Source organism: Homo sapiens, chromosome 12 (genome assembly GCF_000001405.40).
Source record: "Homo sapiens chromosome 12, GRCh38.p14 Primary Assembly".
In the NCBI taxonomy this organism is placed as follows: Eukaryota; Metazoa; Chordata; class Mammalia; order Primates; family Hominidae; genus Homo; species Homo sapiens.
The window spans coordinates 124,101,439-124,122,378 of record NC_000012.12 but is presented as its reverse complement, the minus strand read 5'-3'; the positions used below and the strand labels follow the sequence as shown (position 1 = coordinate 124,122,378).

Genomic DNA, 20,940 nt, shown 5'->3' with positions numbered 1-20,940 from the left:
ATGTGGATTCGGTCTGTAGTTTCATTAACAGTATCATATCCATGTCAGTTCCCTCACTGTGATCATCGTACTGTGGTTGTACAAGATTTCGACATTAGAGGAATCTGGGAAAAGGGTATATGGAAACTCTCAGCTCTTTCTTGCGATTTTCTGTAAGTTTAAAATTATTACAAAATAGGCCAGGCACGGAGGCTCATGTCAGTAATCCCAGAACTTTGGGAGGCCAAGGCAGGCAGATCACTTGAGGTTAGGAGTTCAAGACCAGCCTGGCCAACATGGGGAAACCCTGTCTCTACTAAAAACACAAAAAATTAGCCAGGCATGGTGGCACACACCTGTAAACCCAGCTACTCGGGAGGCTGAGGCAGGAGAATCACTTGAACCCGGGAAGCGGAGGTTGCAATGAGCCGAGATCATGCCACTGCACTCCAGTCTAGGCGACAGAGCGAGACTCTGTCTCAAAAACAAATAAATAAATAAAATAAAGTAAAATAAAATAATTACAAAATAAAGAAGTCTTTTTAAAGAAGAATGATGCCACCTGAGGAACAAGGGAACTGGGGTATTTATACACCAACTGCTTAGGGCCATTGGTTGAGGGTTTCTTGGGGGCAGTGGAACCCCCAGCACTTCCAGCTGCTGGCTGGGAAAAGTGGTCTTCCAGGGTGCAGGTGTTTGGGAGTTGAGTTGAGCATGATGGCCATTGGAGAGATATGGGTTGGACCCTGGCAGTGTCCACTACAGACTCTCACTCTGAGAAGCAGCCTAGGAACATTCTAGAGACCTGAAGATTCCTTCCTTGCTGTAGAGCCTTCCCAAATCCATTTCAATATAACCCCAATGCACTCAACCATCCAACAATGACCCCTTCCGGAATGTGTACATCAGGAGGCAGAGAATGGAGTCTTCTCTGTTTTCAAAATAAAATTCAGTATAATATTCAGTCGATGGCCAGGCACGGTGGCTCACACCTGTAATCCCAGCACTTTGGGAGGCCGATGCAGGCGGATCACTTGAGGTCAGGAGTTCAAGATCAGCCTGGCCAGCACGGTGAAGCCCCGTCTCTACTAAAAATACAAAAATTAACTGGGCGTGGTGGCACATGTCTGTAATCCCAGCTACTCAGGAGGCTGAGGCAGGAGAATTTCTTGAACCTGGGAGGCGGAGGTTGCGGTGAGCTGAGATCACGCCACAGCACTACAGCCTGGGTGTCAGAGTGAAATTCCATCCCCCACCTCCCCCGAGAAAAATCCTGTAGATAATGATTGGCGAGTTAAAAACAAAAAGCAAAAAGTACCTCCATGCATTAGTAATTCCATATAAGCATATGAGTTTGACCTAAATTCAACTGTAATGATCTGTGACAAGAAATTGGTGTTTCCTTCCACTATAAATCAAAGAAACAGCCCTCATTTCATTCTCGCATCCACAGACAGTAACACACTGTGCTATCGGCTTACCTCACACAGCATCAGGGGCCCCTGGCTCCCAAACGTACAGTCCTTTCTTAGGAAAAGTCACCTCTCTTGTGGATCCGATGGTACATTTATTTTGGAAAAGAGAGGGAGTTCATTATCCATACTCCCAACTTCTGTTTTAAATTATTGCTCCAGCCTTACTGGCAAACCTGTCAGGTATAAAGGGACTCACAGCTAAGTGTGTAAATAATTTTTTAAATTCCACTGGTAGTGATTTGGAAATAAGAGGGGTTTTATTTTCCCTTTTCTTTTTTCTTACTTTTTTTTTTTTCCTTTCTGCTAGGATTACTAAGGAATTTAACGTTGTTTTAATTTGCAACACAAGTCGAGTCTATGAAAACCCCTCATGCCCAGTATATGAAACCTGCACTTTACAGCATCAGAAAGCTTTAGGGTATTAAGTAATTGATTTAATTAATCAAGCAAGTAAGTTTTTTCCTCCTCTAGCCCCACTCTGAATGTGGAAAGGTTCTTATAAATATCCAAGAATGTGGAGACATGGGGTAGATCCATGAACCTAGAAAACCAAGGTGACTCATACAGAGGCACTAATGGGCAAACACCTGGGGTGCCCAGGTTTAGGCAAATTTGAGAGTTCTCGATATTTTTATTTTATCATAATCGGGTTCACTGATCCAGCAGACATTGGGCATGTTGATTTTCTTCCTAAACAGCCCCCAGTTTCCCTCCAGGGACCCACACCCAAGAGCTCTCAGAGAAGGGGTTCAGATGGGGCCCCACCCAGGCAGCAGGAACCCAGGGACCCACAGCCATGTGATTGGCTCAAGGGTTGACACATGACTCCACAGGAGCCAATGAGAATGCTGGAACCCAGGCGCCAGTTTTCTTTCTTTTCTTTTTCTTTTTTTAAACGGAGTCTCGCTCTGTCGCCCAGTGTGGAGTGTCAATAGCGCGATCTCAGCTCACTGCAACCTCTGCCTCCCAGGTTCAAGCGATTCTGCTGCCTCAGCCTCCTGAGTAGCTGGGACTACAGGCACATGCCTCCATGCCCTGCTAATTTTTTGTATTTTTAGTAGAGACGGGGTTTCACCATGTTAGCCAGGATGATCTCGATCTCCTGACCTCAGGTGATCCACCCGCCTCGGCCTCCCAAAATGCCGGGATTACAGGCGTGAGCCACCGCGCCCGGCCCGGTTTTCTCTTTTCTTCCAAGAGCGGGCACTGGTGCTGCCATCTTGTGAGCGCCTGGTGAGACTGGTGCTGCCGGTGGCCACAGGAGAAGCCCAAGAACAGACTCAACATGGAGAAGATGGGGACAAGAATTCGAGAGAGGCTTCAAACCACATCCTGATGACACTGTTGAGGCCCCTACATCCAGCTGCACCCAAAGCCTGCAACTTTGGCCAAATAAGGCAATAAATTATGTTAGAGCTTAACCTCGTTGGATATTCTGTCACTTGCAACCAAAAGAGACATAAGCTAATTTGTCTGGAAAATTAACAAAGCAGCACCACGTAACTTTAAAAGTTATTCTTTAGAGGCTCTTCTGGCAACTTTTCTATTTCTCTGGTCAACCACAGATGCAGTGACAGGCTCATCTGTCAGCGCTGGGGGGCGAGAGCCCTGGTATCTGACTCGAGTGGCTGTGGACCACCCGTCCTCTCTCTGGCCTCAGTTCCCAAGTGAGAGAGAGGATAGCATGGTCTTTAAAATCCCAGCTCCGTGTTAATTTGTTTGACTGTTGCAATCATGTTACTATACATATGTATATCAAAACATGTGGTACACCACGTGCACGCACACATACACATACACACACACACACACACACACACACACACACTAAATACATCACCAAAAAGAATCTAGCAGCTGGGGGATGGGGATGAAAACACTTATTATCTTGATTACAGTGCTGGTTTCCTGGGTACATATATCTGTCAAAACCCATCACATCGTATACTTTAAATACATGCAATTCATTGTCCATCAATTATGCCTCACTAAAGCTGGAAAGAAAAAACTATTTCTCAAATCTACAGATATCTATGGATATCTAGATGCATATAAGTTCTATAAGAAATTGAAAATGTAGCTGGGCGCGGTGGCTCATGTCTGTAATCCCAGCACTTTGGGAGGCTGAGGTGGGCGGATCACCTGAAGTCAGGTGTTTGAGACCAGCCTGGCCAACATGGCAAAACCCGGTCTGTACTAAAAATACAAAAATTAGCTGGGCATAGTGGCGGGTGCCTGTAATCCCAGCTACTCAGGAGGCTGAGGCAGGAGAATCGCTTGAACCTGGGAGGCAGAAGTTGCAGTGAGCCAAAATCCTGCCACTGCACTCCAGCCTGGGAGACAGGGCAAGACTCTGTCTCAAAAAAAAAAAAAAAGAAAAAAAGGAAATCGAAAATGTATAGTTTTTATTTTAATGGTAATGGAAAAAAATAAATGTAAGCATAATCTGGAAAAATAAATTTGTTAAATAAATTAAAAAATAGAATCCCACCTCCAGAATGATGTAATCTGTTATTTTAGTGACTGTGAAGACAGACCACAAATCTCATGGTAGCTACACAAACACACACACACACACACACACACACACACACACACACACACACACACAATGGCTCTTCCCCAGGATACCCCATTACCACACAGACTATTCCAGCTCCTCTCATTGGGGTCCGCCTGTCCCTGGAACCTGACAGCCAGGTGCCCCACTGGACCCTGCAACTGAGCAGAGGCCTCACCTGCTTACTTATCCACACAAAGTCCTGCCACCATGTTGTAGGAAGCCGGATGGAAGAGCAGAGAACATGGATACCTAAGTGTTCCACGCCTGGATTCCTGAGTTGCCACGATGGAAAGTTAAATTGTGAACTTCGAGAAAAAGAGTTCTCGTTTTTGTGCACAAGAGTAATTGCAGCAATAGCAGCACTTTACATGTGGGTGAGACTCAATATCTATCCAAGTGCGCTCCGGTTTTCCTACTCTGGTCATGTCTGGAGATGCAGCAACTCTAATACTAGTAACCGCTCAGCTTCCAAATATTTATTATGTGTAAAATGAGCTCAAAAGACATTGGGAAGGGTGTTAGAAAAACTCGATTCCTGATGTAAATTTTCTTAAACTGAGCAGGGTGGGAATAAAAGGATACTTCTTCAGGCCGGGCGCGGTGGCTCACGCCTGTCATCCCAGCACTTTGGGAGTCCAAGGTGGGTGGATCACCCGAGGTCAGGAGTTTGAGACCAGCCTAGGCAACATGGTGAAACCTCACCTCTACTAAAAATGCAAAAATTGGCCCGGCATGGTGGTATGCGCCTGTGATCCCAGCTGCTTGGGAGACTGAGGCAGGAGAATTGCTTGAACCCCGGAGGTGGAGGTTGCAGTGAGCCGAGATCATGTCGCCACACTCCAGCCTGAGCGACAGGGTGCAGTCTCAAAAAATAAAGGATACTTCTTCAACATTATACACACATTGTACACACATGCACCTACCCCGCATATCCCACATACCCCACGTGTTGTGTCTACACTGTGTATCCTACACAAAAGGAGCCTCATGCACGCAGAGTGGACACTCCAGCCTGTGTGTCCGTGCTCCCCTCATGCTCCCTGTATCAGCCACCTCACCCCAGCAAGGTGGTCTCTCCCAGACTCTAGCCATTTGGGCAGAGAATTCTGGGGTCCTAAAGTATCAGAAGTTGTCTAGGGCCAGGGCTGGGATGAGGGCAAGCAAAAGAGCCGCCCTGGGGAGCCCAGTTTAAGGGGGCACCCACTCACAGATTCCACCTCTGCGCCTGCACCATCTGGAATGTGAGTGCCTCCTTAAAGTTTGCACCTGGGGCTCTCTCTAGTCTGACCGTGCCCTGCTGGGACTTTTGTAAGCTCTGGGTGGACTCCACGCTCTCCTGGGGAGGGGCACAGCCAAAGGAGTTACAGAGCGTGGCTCTGTGAAGCACAGTCCCAGGGCAGCCCTCCACCCTGCCGGCCAAGCTTAAGGGCACTGCTGGCCCCCAGATACCACGTCCTAACCACCCTCATAAAACAGGGTTTAGAAACCGCAGCCCCAGCCGGGCGCCATGGCTCACGCCTGTAATCCCAGCACTTTGGGAGGCCGAGGCGGGCAGATCACCTGAGGTCAGGAGTTGGAGACCAGCCTGACCAACATGGTGAAACCTCATCTCTACTAAAAATACAAAAGTTAGCTGGGCGTGGTGGCAGGCCTCTGTAATCCCGGCGACTCGGGAGGCTGAGACAAAAGAATCTCTTGAACCCAGGAGGCAGAGATTGCAGTGAGCCGAGATCGTGCCATTGCACTCCAGCCTGGGCAACAAGAGTGAAACTCCGTCTCAAACAGAAAGAAAGAAACTGCAGTCCCCAAATACACATCTCAATCCCCGCCCCCACAACATTCCCCAAATACCCTTTCTGGGAGCCCCATTTTTGTTTTCCTGGGCAGAAGCCATCCTCCCTTTCCTCTGCTCTCCAAAACACAGCTCTTTTCAGGACCAGGCACCAGCAGCACAGGGGTTTCCTCCCATTTGGAAAAACAGAATGGCAGCCTCTTCTATCGCAGCCGGCTTCAAAGGCATGGGGACAAATGGATTTTTCCCGTGCTTCATTAATAGTCGCAGAGGAGCCCTTGCACCTCTTCCGTCCTGTTCTATTTCCAGGGATCTGTTTCTCCAGGTGCCTCTGACCCTCACCCCCAAGACCCCAAGGCTGGGGAAGCCACGGAGGAGGAGATGGCCCCTTGGGACTGACAGGACTTGGGGTTTTTCAGGAGGAGGACCGGGGTACACAACGCCCACGCAGTCAGCTGCTCCTGTCTCAATGCGACTCCTGATCACGACCTGGGTTTGTAAAATCCTATCCTTCCCAGGAACTTGAAGCCGCTCCTGTGTGTATCACTTTTATTTACCTGCCTAACAGTCACAGGGGGGTAATGCATTTTTAACTGCGATTTGTAGATGAAGGACAAGAACCGGTGAAGCCAAGGAGATCACGAGTCTCACGGGCCAGGTTCTGGTTGGCCGAAGACGCCAGGCGAAGATGTGAGGCAAAGGCCCTGTGTGTCTCTAGCATGTTTTAGTGAGCTGTTCTGGGACAGGCACAAATTGAGTTTTTTTAAAAAAACAATTCTTTTCTAAGCCAAATCCCAATGCCACTGTCATGGGACTTTTAAAAGCATTTTGCACCGTGACAGCAGTCAGGAGACAGAGGCTGGGGCTGGAGGCCTCGAGCCGGCCACAGGGGCCGAAGGGAGATGTCCAGGCGGGACACGGTCCCGATTGTGCTTCACCATTTTTAAGGGAGCAGACAATTATTTCCACTGGAATCCAACGAGGACTGAGATTTTCAATTTTCCTACAGCGCAGGAAGGAAATTGAGAGTTTTAGTTCTGGTTCATTCATTTCAGTTCAGAACTGCTCTCTGGCTGGAAAACTCCAACGGTTTTCTTCTGGGTGAATTTTTCTGCCTTCATTTCTTCCAACTCCCCATACATTGAGCTCCAGCTCTTTCTTTTGTCTCTTTTTTTTTTCTTCAGCCTCCAAACTGTTGTAAAATTATCCTTCTATTTGGGATTTATGATGTCTCCACCTTTCAGTAATCTTTCATCGGATTTTACTTCAGCCGTGAGAAAAGGGTGGTTGTTTCCAGACCCATGTTAAAATTTCCTTCATCACAATTTATGGACTTAGGGGTAAAAATGTCTATCCAAATTGTCCCTTGGTGGAACAGGAATCCGAAGTCACTTATGTAGTGCGGCACTGGTGTGTAGTGGGGAGCATAGCTGCCTTCCAAAGTCACTTAGGTAAACGGTGCTGTGTTTTGGGGGAGGAATAAGAAATAGGACTGCTCTGCAATGGATTAGTACATTTGCTTTAGATCCACACATATTCCAAACCCTGAGGCCATAGGCCACCCTTCATAAACCTCCAAATGCCTACCCCTGTGGAACCCCTGATCCTGACCCCCCAGAGCCCAGTTACCCCCCGACACAGAGCAACTCAACAAGGAAACATTCGTGCCATGCAACCTGGCTCCTGCCCATCAGAAGCCAAGTGAACAGTAGGAAAGACTTATTTCTCTTCATGCCAATCCTCTCCTTATTAAAAATATAAAATAGGAAAAGAGGATTTTTTAGAGGGCCTGGAGGTGGGAGAGGTAGGGTGGAAACTGTATTGCCAACAATTGCCATTTCCTGGAACAGAACCCCAGACCCTGAATGTCATTCTGCATATTGTCAAACCCATCCTTCCCTGGACCCAGCATTCCCTGGCAGCCACCCAATAGGAATACTGTCCTGTCCAGTCTTTGAAAACTTCCTTTAAAACACTCTTGGTGTTCTACTTAAATGTGAGAAGGTCACAGGTTGGCTGGCCTGGAAAGACAAAGAGAGGCTATTTAGGAAGGTTCATATCACTTCCCCCTCCAAGCACTCAGTGTCTCCCCACCAGCTCTGAAACAAAGCGTATCTGTAGTTCCTGTAGGGACACAACAGTCCACATTGTAGGCCCTTGACGCATCTGTTAAAGTGAATTAACCTGTGTTCATTTCCTTATTTGGAAAAATTAGCATAAAAATGTTTGCTCTGCCAATCTGGAACTGCCTGGGGGGGTGGCAAAGAGGCAATTTTGGTGACTTTTCATAAACACCAACTTTAACAAGATACCCTTTTGTCACCAGCTCAGTCATAGTGTGCTGCAGTGAGATACTGCTGCATAACAAACAAGTCTAAAACATAGGGACTTAAAATAAGAGCCCTTTTAGGCTGGGTGCGGTGGCTCACGCCTGTAATCCCAGCACTTTGGGAGGCCGAGGTGGGTGGATCATGAGGTCAGGAAATCAAGACCATGCTGGCCAACATGGTGAAACCCCATCTCTACTAAAAATCCAAAAATTAGCCGGGCGTGGCAGCGGGTGCCTGTAGTCCCAGCTACTCGGGAGGCTGAGGCAGGAGAATGGTGCGAACCCAGTAGGCGGAGCTTGCAGTGAGCCAAGATCACGCCACTGCACTCCAGCCTGGGCGACAGAGCGAGACTCCATCTAAAAAATAATAATAATAATAATAAGAGCCCTTTTATTATATTTCACAATTCCCTGCATGCAGAAGCCAGGCAGGGCTTGGCTGGGTGATTCTTCTGTTCTATGCTATCAACAGAGATCATTCAGTAGTACCTCACTAGCTGATAGGCTGGTCTAGGGTCCAAGATGGCTTCATTCATACACCTGGCACCTTTGGGAGGATGGCTGAAAGGCTGGACCCTGATGCATTGTCAACTGGAAGGTCACATGTGGTCACCCCAGCATGGCAGGCACAGGATAATTGGTTTTCTTACATGATGGCTCAGGGCTCCAAGTGTGAGTGTTCCAGTGAACAAAGTAGATGTTTCATGGCCTTTTATGACCTAGCTTTGGAAGTCATATGGAGGCACTTCCACGCTAGTCTATTGGTCAAAGCAGTTCAATGCTGCCTAGTTTCCAGAGAAGAGCACCTACCCTCCATCTCTCAATGACAGGAATGTCTAAGAATTTGTAGATATGTTTTCAAAAGATCAGAATTTTTAGCATCACAGATAATCACAGTAATGCCCAACCTTTGTTCCATTTTTTCTTTTTCCTTCTTTTTTTTTTTTTTTTTAATTTGAGATGGAATCTCACTCTGTCACCCAAGCTGGAGTGCAATGGTGTGATCTCGGCTCACTGCAACCTCCACCTCCCAGGTTCAAGCGATTCTCCTGCCTCAGCCTCCCAAGTAGTTGGGATTACAGGTGCCCACCACCACGCCTGGCTAACTTTTGTATTTTTAGTAGAGACGGGTTTCACCATGTGGGCCAGGATGGTCTCAATCTCCTAACCTCAGGTGATCCACCCACCTCAGCCTCCCAAAGTGCTGGGATTACAGGCACAAGCCACTGCGCCCAGCCTCTCTTTCTTTCATTCTCTTATTTCTTCTTTTTCTTCATTTATTCAATGATATTTACTGAGCAACTGCCAAGTGCTGAGCACTGGAAACATGGAGTCATGGGGTGAACAAGACCCTAGCTCCTGTCTGCTTGGAACGCAGAGTCTAGAAGAAGAAACAGATAATCAAATAATCTAATGATAAGTGTATCATTACAAATCAAGACCAATGCTCTGGGACAGAGATTGCCAAACTTTTCTATAAAGAGCCGGACAGAAAGTATTTTAGGTTGTGTGAGCTATACAGTGTCTGTTGTAACTACTCAACTCTGCAAGAAGCAGCCATAGGCAATACAAAAAAAAAAAAAATGAGCATCACAGTGTGCAAATAAAACTTTATTTATGCTGGGCACGGTGGCTCACGCCTGTAATCCCAGCACTTTGGGAGGCTGAGACAGGTGGATCACGAGGTCAAGAGATCGAGACCATCCTGGCCAACATGGTGAAACCCTGTCTCTTCTAAAAACACAAAAATTAGCCAGGCGTGGTGGTGCGCACCTGTAGTCCCAGCTACTCAGGAGGCTGAGGCAGGAGAATTGCTTGAATCCAGGAGGCGGAGGTTGCAGTGAGCCAAGATCACGCCACTACACTCCAGCCTGGCAATAGAGCAAGACTCGGTCTCAGAAAAACGAACAAACAAACAAAGAACTTTATTTACAAAAACAGGTGGAGGGCCAGATTTGGCCCAATGGATGTAGTTTGTTTACCTCTATTCTGGAGGAAAGGAACATTTTTCTATCAAGATGTGTAACAAAGAAGCTTGATGTACTTTGGGATGGGGAGTCTTTCCCTGAGGAAGTGACTTTTGAATAAGTAGGCGTTAACCAGGTGAAGGGGTGCATGGATGGTGGCAGGCAAGTGGAGGGAGAATCATCGAACACTGGAAAAAGTTTTAAAGAGTCAGTTTAGACAGAGGGGAGAAGGCTCAGGGGAAACTGCCAAGAAATGAGACTGGAGAGAGGTAGACTGTGGCCAAATCACACAGTAATCATGTTAAAATGTCAGGGGTTTTGATCTCAAAAGCAATGGAAAACCAATGAAGGATTTTAAGGCTTAAAAAAAATGATTTATGTGTGATTTTTTTTCCCTTAATTAGGACACATACTGACCTAACTGAATGGACTGGGGTTGCATTTTCTGGCAAAAAATGAGTTGAAGATGGGCTGGGCACAGTGGCTCACACCTAAAACAACTATAATCCCAGCGCTTTAGGAGGCCGAGGCGGGTGGATCACCTGAGGTCAGGAGTTCGAGGCCAGCCTGGCCAAAATATAGTGAAACTCCATCTCTACTAAAAATACAAAAATTAGCTGGGTGTGGTGGCCCACGCCTGTAGTCCCAGCTACTTGGGAAGCTGAGGCATGAGAATCACTTGAACCCAGGAGGCGGAGGTTGCAGTGAGCCAAGATCGTGCCACTCTACTCAAGCCTGGGTGACAGAGCGAGACTCCTATAAAAAATTCTCTTAAAAAAAAATTAAAGATGAGAGTGTGATGGCAATGCTGGAGAGATGAGGTATCACATTTTGGTGGTCTTTATAACCTCGCAGGAAGGTCACGGGAATAGTCACACATTCCAAGGGATCAAAAAGTGTGGAAAGTACTTTTTCACGCTATTATCGTGCTATTCATACATAAGGTCTTACTATTATTCAAGGTCGGTGCCCCAGAGGGATTCCTTGCATAATTAACTAATTGGTCTCACATTTCTTGCCGTGGATTTTGATTTTTTTTAAGTATTTGGCTCCAAAGGTTTTTAAACTATTCTGTTTCATGGTGTTAATTTTTCCATTGTCTAGACAGCTGGAGAGTCAGATAGGATTATCAAGAGGAAACAGCCGATTTATGACCAAAAGTCAACCTTTTCAGCCAATGGAATTTACATATTAATGACATTGTGGCAGCTGTCATAAGAAAACTTGTAAAAACCAAACCTTTCACATTTGTGCATTTCTGAAACTGGCATTGGGCAGATGTTTTGCATTTTTAATACACATGAAAGACCCTTTAATAAAACCACGGAAGAAAGAGATTGATGAGCGTGTGCCTGGTGGTGGGACAGTGGCAGCTCAAGTTTAAAAGACACATCAACCAACTTTCTGGAATCTTATAAGACATAAGATGAAAGGGGCCCAGGAGTCCTATGGCCACTTTTCAAGCTTTGACAGAATCAAAATACAGAAAGATGAGCCCATTAGAGCTGGGTCATAAAACCAAATTCAGAGTAAGAGGGAGCCTCAGAGGCCACACTGCTTCCTGGTTGTACCTGCTTCCACATTCCTCCCAAATGGGCAATCCACTTATGTAAATATCTCTGTTGACAAGGAATTCACTGACTTCCTAAATGAAACAACTTCTTCCTTCTATAGACTCACTGTCTTCTTTGAAATTCTTACTCACTGGTCCCAGATCTGGCCTCTGAGGTCAGTAGGATATGCCTGGCCCCTCACATAGTGTTCTACTGTGATACCCTCTGAAACAGGTAAAATATTCTTAGTTTCATTCACAATTTGTCTTAAGACACAGCCTTTTCATCAAGAAGACCCTCTCGGTTGGCACTGAGTTTGGCTGCATGGATGGACACTTGCGCCCAGTGGTTGCCACTCTCCTGCTAAAAACTTCACTTTGTTGTCCATTGCAACAGGATAAACTCCAAACTCAGTAACCCAGACTGACATTATGCATGTGAAATAGGCTGCAATAGGCTGCATAGTAAGTGCTCCATAAGCATTAGTTCTCATCCATTCAGTCATGTATTCATTCATTATGGCATGAATGTGAACTAACAAGGGATTCTCTTTCTTATAAAATGAGTTTAGGCAGTTACTTCATGATCCTATCAATATCTCAGGCCCCTTCTATCTTTCTCCCTCCCTATCTATTATTGAGAATGTCCCTTCAAAGTCACAAGATGGCCGTTCCACCTCCAGCCTCATGTCCCTGCTTGAAGCAAGAAAAAACAGTGACAAAAGGAAGAAGTGTTGCTTAAATAAGGAAAGCAAAACAATCTCAGAAGGCGCCTTTGGCTTTCCACTTACAGCTGATTGGCCAGAGCTGTGCCATGTGATCACCCCTAGGCACAAGGGAGCCTGGGAAATGTAGTTTCACTAGCTAGAATAGGGAAGAACGATGTTGGGTAGGCAACTAGTAGTTCCATGTTTGCTAAAACCTCTTCTGATAATATGCCTCTAGAAGTCAGGGGTCCAGAATTGGGCAACATGTCCCAGACATGGTCTACACAATCAGAATATAAAAATGAGATGGCTCGGCCGGGCGCGGTGGCTCACGCCTATAATCCCAGCACTTTAGGAGGCAGAGGCGGGCGGATCACGAGGTCAGGAGATCGAGACCATTCTGGCTAACACGGTGAGACCCCGTCTCTACTAAAAATACAAAAAATTAGCCGGGCGTGTTGGTGGGCATCTGTAGTCCCAGCTACTCAGGAGGCCGAAGCAGGAGAATGGCATGAACCCGGGAGGCAGAGCTTGCAATGAGCCGAGATCGCGCCACTCCAGCCTGGGCGACAGAGCAAGACTCCGTCTCAAAAAAAAAAAAAAAAAGAGATGGCTCCTAACTCTGGACTTGGATTAATTCATAGGGACTTGGACTGGAATTCCAACTCTAGTATTTACTACCTGTGTGACCTTTGTCAATTTACTTCTTCTTTCTAAATACCAGTTGTTTCATTTATAAACTGAAAAGAATCGTGAAACGTTGCAAAGCCACCATGGGAATTAAACAAGATTGATTATAATCAATGACTAGCACATAGTAGGTACTCAATACATGTTCGTTTTCTTCCTTTATCTGGATCCAGACAAACTATGTCCAGGAAGTGGCACAGGAACTTCCTTGTTTGGTTGCATCTTTTCTCTTAATTTGGCACCAACTCCTGTCCTGTCATCATCTCTCCTCTATTTCTTGTTGAACTGTCTCATGGGAGCTGATAGTTAAATTTTCAGAAATTTTGCAAGCTGGCTACTAAGCACAACCATTAATCAAAATTTAATAAATATAAACTTAAAATGAAGTTATATTAAAATGAAGTTATATTAAAATAAAGGTAATAAATACTGAAAACTCATGTCTTCATAATTATTTTACTACATTTTATTATTACTTATGCTTCTGAAGTTATTTACATCTATGGTATCTGACTGGTAGAAATATTATATATTTATAGTATTTCTACCAATCTATTTATTCAATCCACTATTTAATTCATTATGGAGTGTGTGCTAGATGCAGCCCTTCCTAATTCTACACCCAGTGACATCACATTGCTAGCTTGAAGTTGACCTTGGTAGGTGCATTTACACCATGGAAACTGACAAATATTACAAATCAAAGGTTTGTTTATTGTTTTGTTTATTGCCTAGACTTAAGAAAGACATGGAAAATATGACAATACTACAGATGAAACTTTAAAATATATCATGTCTATAGCTGTCACACTGTGAATAGCACAAAAAATGTTGAAGAAATACTCTTCCAGTATTCCAAAACTATTATCCAATTCAACAAAGCCACTCACATCGCTGATGAATGCATGAAGTTTCAACACATCTTGGTAATTTCACTTTCATCTTTCTCACTAATGTAAACAAAAATACCAACCAACATTCACATGTAAACTATACTTGTCAGTCAATTACAACCATAGGTTGGGTATAGATGCAAGTTTGACAAAAATCAAAGAATGCATTCTATAAGAATTCATTGGGTATATGAAATTTATATTTAAAATATTATATATTTTATTATTATTTGCAAAGTATGTGCCACACTTTCTTTACATTAGTGAAACTTATAAGAGAAACACACACACACACACACATTCTCTCTCTGTCTCTCTCTCTTTCCCTCTCCCTCTCTCTCTTTCTTTCTGGAGAGCTGACTGTTATACAATTACCAGCACACTACTGGTTCTAAGTACAGCCATCCCTCAGTATCTGTGGGAGGTTGGTTCCAGGGCCCCCACAGACAGCAAAATGTGCAGATGCTCAGGTCCCTGATATCAAATGGTGTGGTATTTGCATATAACCTATGCACATCCTCCTGTATACTTTAAAATATCTCCAGATTGCTTATAATACCTAATACAATGAAAATACTATGTAAATAATTGTTATATTGTTCAGGAAATAATAACCAAAAGCTCTGTACATGTTCAGTACAATTTTTTCCTGAATATTTTCTATCCGAGGTTGGTTGAATCCCCAGATGCAGAACCCACACATACAGAGAGCTGTCTGCAGTACTAAATCTCATGCAGCCCAGCTCTGAGGCAAAATGATTCTGTGTCCTTTGCAATTTTTAGAGGAAGCTGATGATGTCACACAACCAATGGGATACAGAGCAGAAGCCCCCAGAAGGAGGTGGCCAACAGGGAGGAACTGGAATCTTGTTGAGAGAGGTATGGGCTTTCGCTGATGTTAGCTCCCGCCTCTGGGTGCATGTTTCTGTCAGGCCTCTGAGCCCAGGCCTGCACGAATACATCCAGATGGCCTGAGGCAACTGAAGAACCACAAAAGAAGTGAAAATGGCCGGTTCCTGCCTTAACTGATGACATTCCACCCTTGTGATTTGCTCCTGCCCCACCCTAACTGATGAATTAACCTTGTGACATTCCTTCTCCTGGACAATGAATATCAGAGCCTTCTCACCAGCACCTTGTGACCCCCACTCCTGCACCTTGTGAACAACCCCCTTTAACTGTAATTTTCCACTACCTACCCAAATCCTATAAAACTGCCTCACCCCTATCTCCCTTTGCTGACTCCCTTTTCGGACTCAGTCCGCCTGCACCCAGGTGATTAAAAAGCTTTATTGCTCACACAAAGCCTATTTGGTGTTCTCTTCACACAGACGGGCATAACAGTTTAATGGCCCCCATGTCCTTTGAAACGAAGGCAGAGAAGGAAGAGAAATGCCAGTAGGTCTTGCTGGTAAAATACAAAAGAAGCGATGTAAGACTGAAGCCTCACTGTGGCCAGTACTTCATCGCCTCACTTTGTCCCTGCTCTGCCCCATGATCACCACTCAACATGAGTTCACTGTGGCTTATCCGACTGGCTCAGCCCATTCCCAGGGCCTGTCCCCAAGCAAAGCTCAAACTAGACAGCCGGATTGATTTTGCCCTTTGTGAAAGGACTCTCAGGTAGGGTAGCTGTGTTGCACGTGAAACCCAGGAGTCCCAATGGCAAAGCCAGGTACAGAGAAATTACAATTAAACCCTGGCATGGGCAACTGGGCCGAGATGGGACACCCCAGTCCTTTGTTGCTTTGCCTGGTGCTCTGTGTGGGCACCAGAGACTTTGGGCGGCGCTGGTTTCATGGATGAATGACAAATACCCTCTAGCACGGCCCAGACAGAGCTCCACAGTGGGAGTTTCATCATCAGGTGTCACCAAATTTAGAAATTCTGTTGCCAAAGCTTTAACAAGCTTCCAGATGTAAGGCCTAAAAACAAAGTGCCGCCACACCTCTCCCCTGCCCCTTCCCCTCATCTCTATAACCCAGTTCAGGTTAGCCCTAGGATCTATACCCTAGATACTAAGGGACAGCACTAGCTGGATTTCCTAGGCAGACTAAGAATCCCTAAGCCTAGCTGGGAAGGTGACCGCATCCACCTTTAAACACGGGTCTTGCAACTTAGCTCACACCCGACCAATCAGGTAGTAATGAGAGCTCACTAAAATGCTAATTAGGCAAAAACAGAAGGTAAAGAAATAGCCAATCATCTATCGCCTGAGAGCACAGGGGGAGGGACAATGATCAGGATATAAACCCAGGCATTCCAGCCAACAAGGGCAACCCCCTTTGGGTGCCCTCCCATTTTATGGGAGCTCTGTTTTCACTCTATTAAATCTTGCAACTGCACACTCTTCTGGGCCGTGTTTGTTATGGCTCGAGCTGAGCTTTCACTCACCCTCCACCACTGCTGATCGCCGCTGTCACAGACCAGCCCTGACTTCCACCCCTCCGGATCCAGCAGGGTGTCCGCTGCACTTCTGATCTAGTGAGGAGGTGCCCATTGCCGCTCCCAATCGGTCTAGAGGCTCGCCATTGTTCCTGTGCGGGCTAAGTGCCGGGGGTTCGTCCTAATCGAGCTGAATAGAGCCATAATGCTCACCGCATGGCCCAAGATTCCATTCCTTGGAATCTGTGAGGCCAAGAACCCCAGGTCAGAGAACGAGAGGCTTGCCGCCATCTTGGAAGCAGCCCGCAGCCATCTTGGGAGTTCTAAGAACAAGGATCCCCGGTAACAATACAACTCACAACGATAATTTGCCAAGATGCGGATTCTTTCAAATCAGTGTGTTGGTTTAGTGTAAATCAGTCAAGACTCTTTATGGAATTTTTTCAGCCTTTGCAGAATAATTCTAAAATTCATCTGAAAACTTGCCCTGGCAAGAGTAGCTAACTTTAAAGAAGATGTAAGAGAGAGGGGATCTAGGTATTAAACTGTCCCCCCATGTATTAAAACTGTCTCAGTAAACTACACTTATAAAACTGCATTAATGACCAGGTGTGGTGTCTCATGCCTGTAATCTCAGCACTTTGCTCATGCCTGTAATCCCAGCATTTTGGGAGGCCTAGGCGGGTGGATCACTTGAGTTCAGGTGTTTGAGACCAGCCTGGCCATCATGGTGAAACCCCATCTCTACTAAAATACAAAATTAGCCAGGCATGGTGGCACACGCCTGTAATCCCAGCTACCCGGGAAGCTGAGGCCAAGAGAATGGCTTGAACCTTGAACCTGGGAGGTGGAGGTTGCAGTGAGCCAAGATCACGCCACTGCACTCCAGCCTGAGGGCGACAGAGGGAGACTCCGTCTCAAACAAACAAACAAAACACCCTGCATTAATAAATGTTAACAGTTGACAGAAATTCAAGAATTGATGTATGACAAAGGTAGTGTTAACTGGGGGAAAATACAAATTATTTCATGAATAGTGCTGGGACAATTGGGAGGTAGCAATTGGGGAAAATAAATGAATTTAGATTTTTACCTCAAACCATATACCAAAATAAATTACAGATGGTTAAAAGCGTAAACTAAAACTGTAAAAAATACAACAGTTCTTTAATCTTGGGGTATAGGAGGGCTTTATATGATTTAAGACAATGAAAGAAATTCACAAAGAAACCATCAAAAACAATAGACTGGCTAGATAATTTTGTCATTGACATTGAATCGAGAAGCATCATCTACAAAACCAATCCACTATATCAAATTAAGGGAAATACCTGAAACAAACACGACAAGGAGTTGATAGCCTTCATAGAGGAAGACTTCATACAAATACATGAGAAAACACTGTCTCTGGCCAGGCGCAGTGGCTCATGCCTGTAATCCCAGCACTTTGGGAGGCTGAGGCGGGTGGATCAGGAGGTCAGGAGTTCGAGACCAGCCTGGCCAATATGGTGAAACCCTGTCTCTACTAAAAATACAAAAATTAGCTGGGCCTGGTGGCACACACTGCAGTCTGAGGCAGGAGAATCGCTTGAACCCAGGAGGCGGACGTTGCAGTGAGCCAAGATCACGCCACTGCACTGCAGCCTGGACGACAGAACGAGACTCAATCTCAAAAAAAAAAAAAAAAAAAAAGAAACAGAAAGAAAGAAAAAAGGAAACGTCTCTTTGATAGGTAAGTGGGTAAAGAAAATTAAAGTTATTTCACAAAAAAGAAATATAAGAGTCAAACATATGGGGGAAAATGTTCAGTCTCTCTTCAAAACAAAAAAGCAAATTAGAATAATCTCTGCTCCATTGGAATAATTCTTCAAATCATCCAATTTGCAAAAGATGAAAAAGCCAAACTCCTCCACACTGTTGAGATGGCTGATTTAGGCTCTTTTATACACATAATGTACAGAGAAAGAAAGGTGGCAGTGTGTGTGTCAAGAACCTTTAAAATGTTCGGAGCTTTGATTTTGCCATTTGCTTTTAAGCATCTCTCCTGGACAAAACTTTGCGTATAAGGATGTTTATCACAACAGACAAACCTAAACACCTGTGAATAAAACAGCCATTCAGCACAATTCTTAAAGGCACCCTATGAATGAGGCAGGCATTAAAATTGTGACGTTTGGCCGGGCGCAGTGGGTCACACCTGTAATCCCAGCACTTTGGGAGGCCGAGGAGGGCAGATGGCTTGAGTACAAGAGTTCAAGACCGGCCTGGGCAACATGGTCAAACCCCGTCTCTACAAAAAATACAAAAATTAGCCAGGCGTGTTGGTGCACACCTGTGGTCCCAGCTACTTGGGAGGCTGGGGAGGGAGGATCACTTGAACCTGGGACGCAGAGGTTGCAGTGAACGGAGATCATACCACTGCACTGCAGCCTGGGCAACAGAGCAAGACACCATCTCAAAAAAAAATTGTGAAGTTATTAGAAACACAGAAAAGATTTGTAACATAACTAAGTGAAACATCCATCAATAGGAGAACAAATGGATAAACTTTTTACTTATTTGTTTATTCATAAAAAAAGTTATATTTATAGTTTGTTTAGTCATCCAATTGGATGGTAGTCAGCGACAGAGAACAAGCCTGCAGACCCAAGAAGGAACACAGGGGGATCAAAAAGGTACTGCTGAGTGAAGAAAGATGGCCACAAAACATCCTGCAGGATCCCATTGATTTGCAGTTCTAGAACTTCACAACTAATAGACATCAGAACAGTAGTTGCCCAAAGGTGGGAGGGGCAAACTGACTGCAAAAGGACTGGAGGGAACTTTATGGGGTGCTGGAAACATTTCTAAGTCTTGACCAGGGTAGAGGTTACACAGGTGTATTCATTTGTCAAAACCCATCACCCTGTACATTTAAAGTGGATACTTTTTATCATGTGTACATTATACCATCATCATGTTGGTATAAAATAAACTTTTTAAAAACTAAGTGACTCACTGAAATACCAATTAGGCTAAAAGCAGGAGGTAAAGAAATAGTCAATCCTCTCCCTCTCCCTCTCCCCACGGTCTCCCTCTCCCTCTCTTTCCAGGGTCTCCCTCTCCCTCTCTTTCCACGGTCTCCTTCTGATGCCGAGCCGAAGCTGGACGGTGCTGCTGCCATCTCGGCTCACTGCAACCTCCCTGCCTGATTCTCCTGCCTCAGCCTGCCCAGTGCCTGCGATTGCAGGCGCGCGCCACCACGCCTGACTGGTTTTCGTATTTTTTTGGTGGAGACGGGGTTTCACTGTGTTGGCCGGGCTGGTCTCCAGCTCCTAACCGCGAGTGATCCGCCAGCCTCGGCCTCCCGAGGTGCCGGGATTGCAGACGGAGTCTCGTTCACTCAGTGCTCAATGGTGCCCAGGCTGGAGTGCAGTGGCGTGATCTCGGCTCGCTACAACCTCCACCTCCCAGCCGCCTGCCTTGGCCTCCCAAAGTGCCGAGATTGCAGCCTCTGCCCGGCCACCACCCCGTCTGGGAAGTGAGGAGCATCTCCGCCTGGCCGCCCATCGTCTGGGATGTGAGGAGCCCCTCTGCCTGGCTGCCCAGCCTGGAAAGTGAGGAGCGTCTCTGCCCGGCTGCCATCCCATCTAGGAAGTGAGGAGCGCCTCTTCCCGGCCGCCATCACATCTGGGAAGTGAGGAGCGTCTCTGCCCGGCCGCCCATCGTCTGAGATGTGAGGAGCACCTCTGCCCTGCAGCCCCGTCCGGGATGTGAGGAGCGTCTCTGCCCGGCCGCCCCGTCTGAGAAGTGAGGAGACCCTCTGCCTGGCAACCGCCCCGTCTGAGAAGTGAGGAGTCCCTCCGCCCGGCAGCCGCCACGTCTGAGAAGTGAGGAGCCCCTCCGCCCAGCAGCCACCCCGTCTGGGAAGTGAGGAGCGTCTCCGCCCGGCAGCCACCTCGTCCGGGAGGGAGGTGGGGGGGTCAGCCCCCCGCCCGGCCAGCCGCCCCGTCCGGGAAGTGAGGGGCGCCTCTGCCCGGCCGCCCCTACTGGGAAGTGAGGAGCCCCTCTGCCCGGCCAGCCGCCCCGTCCGGGAGGGAGGTGGGGGGGTCAGCCCCCCGCCCGGCCAGCCGCCCCGTCCAGGAGGTGAGGGGCGCCTCTGCCCGGCCGCCCCTACTGGGAAGAGTGAGGAGCCCCTCTGCCTGGCCAGCCGCCCCGTCCGGGAGGGAGGTGGGGGGGTCAGCCCCCCGCCCGGCCAGCTGCCCCGTCCGGGAGGGAGGTGGGGGGGTCAGCCCCACGCCCGGCCAGCCGCCCCGTCCGGGAGGTGAGGGGCGCCTCTGCCCGGCCGCCCCTACTGGGAAGTGAGGAGCCCCTCTGCCCGGCCACCACCCCGTCTGCGAGGTGTACCCAACAGCTCATTGAGAATGGGCCATGATGACAATGGCGGTTTTGTGGAATAGAAAGGGGGGAAAGGTGGGGGAAAGATTGAGAAATCGGATGGTTGCCGTGTCTGTGTAGAAAGAGGAAGACATGGGAGACTTTTCATTTTGTTCTGTACTAAGAAAAATTCTTCTGCCTTGGGATCCTGTTGATCTGTGACCTTACCCCCAACCCTGTGCTCTCTGAAAC

The 20,940-nt window shown here is 46.8% G+C and overlaps 1 protein-coding gene across 2 annotated transcripts in view, besides 4 other annotated features; it reads right to left on the bottom strand.

Annotated features, from left to right (window-relative positions):
• The window catches only part of ZNF664-RFLNA (ZNF664-RFLNA readthrough), a 342,810-nt gene that overhangs the window by 193,646 nt on the left and 128,224 nt on the right, over nucleotides 1-20,940 (bottom strand). The gene's annotated exons all lie outside the window — the stretch shown is intronic.
• Nucleotides 4,729-5,273: an enhancer, noted in NCBI's record as "H3K27ac-H3K4me1 hESC enhancer chr12:124601652-124602196 (GRCh37/hg19 assembly coordinates)". NCBI's record gives its function as "activates a minimal SCP1, AML or CMV promoter by ChIP-STARR-seq in primed H9 embryonic stem cells {active_cell/tissue: H9 hESC(primed)}" and the evidence as "EXISTENCE:reporter gene assay evidence [ECO:0000049][PMID:30033119]".
• Nucleotides 5,274-5,819: an enhancer, noted in NCBI's record as "H3K27ac-H3K4me1 hESC enhancer chr12:124601106-124601651 (GRCh37/hg19 assembly coordinates)". NCBI's record gives its function as "activates a minimal SCP1, AML or CMV promoter by ChIP-STARR-seq in primed H9 embryonic stem cells {active_cell/tissue: H9 hESC(primed)}" and the evidence as "EXISTENCE:reporter gene assay evidence [ECO:0000049][PMID:30033119]".
• Nucleotides 6,365-6,911: an enhancer, noted in NCBI's record as "H3K27ac-H3K4me1 hESC enhancer chr12:124600014-124600560 (GRCh37/hg19 assembly coordinates)". NCBI's record gives its function as "activates a minimal SCP1, AML or CMV promoter by ChIP-STARR-seq in primed H9 embryonic stem cells {active_cell/tissue: H9 hESC(primed)}" and the evidence as "EXISTENCE:reporter gene assay evidence [ECO:0000049][PMID:30033119]".
• Nucleotides 11,475-11,976: an enhancer, noted in NCBI's record as "NANOG hESC enhancer chr12:124594949-124595450 (GRCh37/hg19 assembly coordinates)". NCBI's record gives its function as "activates a minimal SCP1, AML or CMV promoter by ChIP-STARR-seq in naive H9 embryonic stem cells {active_cell/tissue: H9 hESC(naive)}" and the evidence as "EXISTENCE:reporter gene assay evidence [ECO:0000049][PMID:30033119]".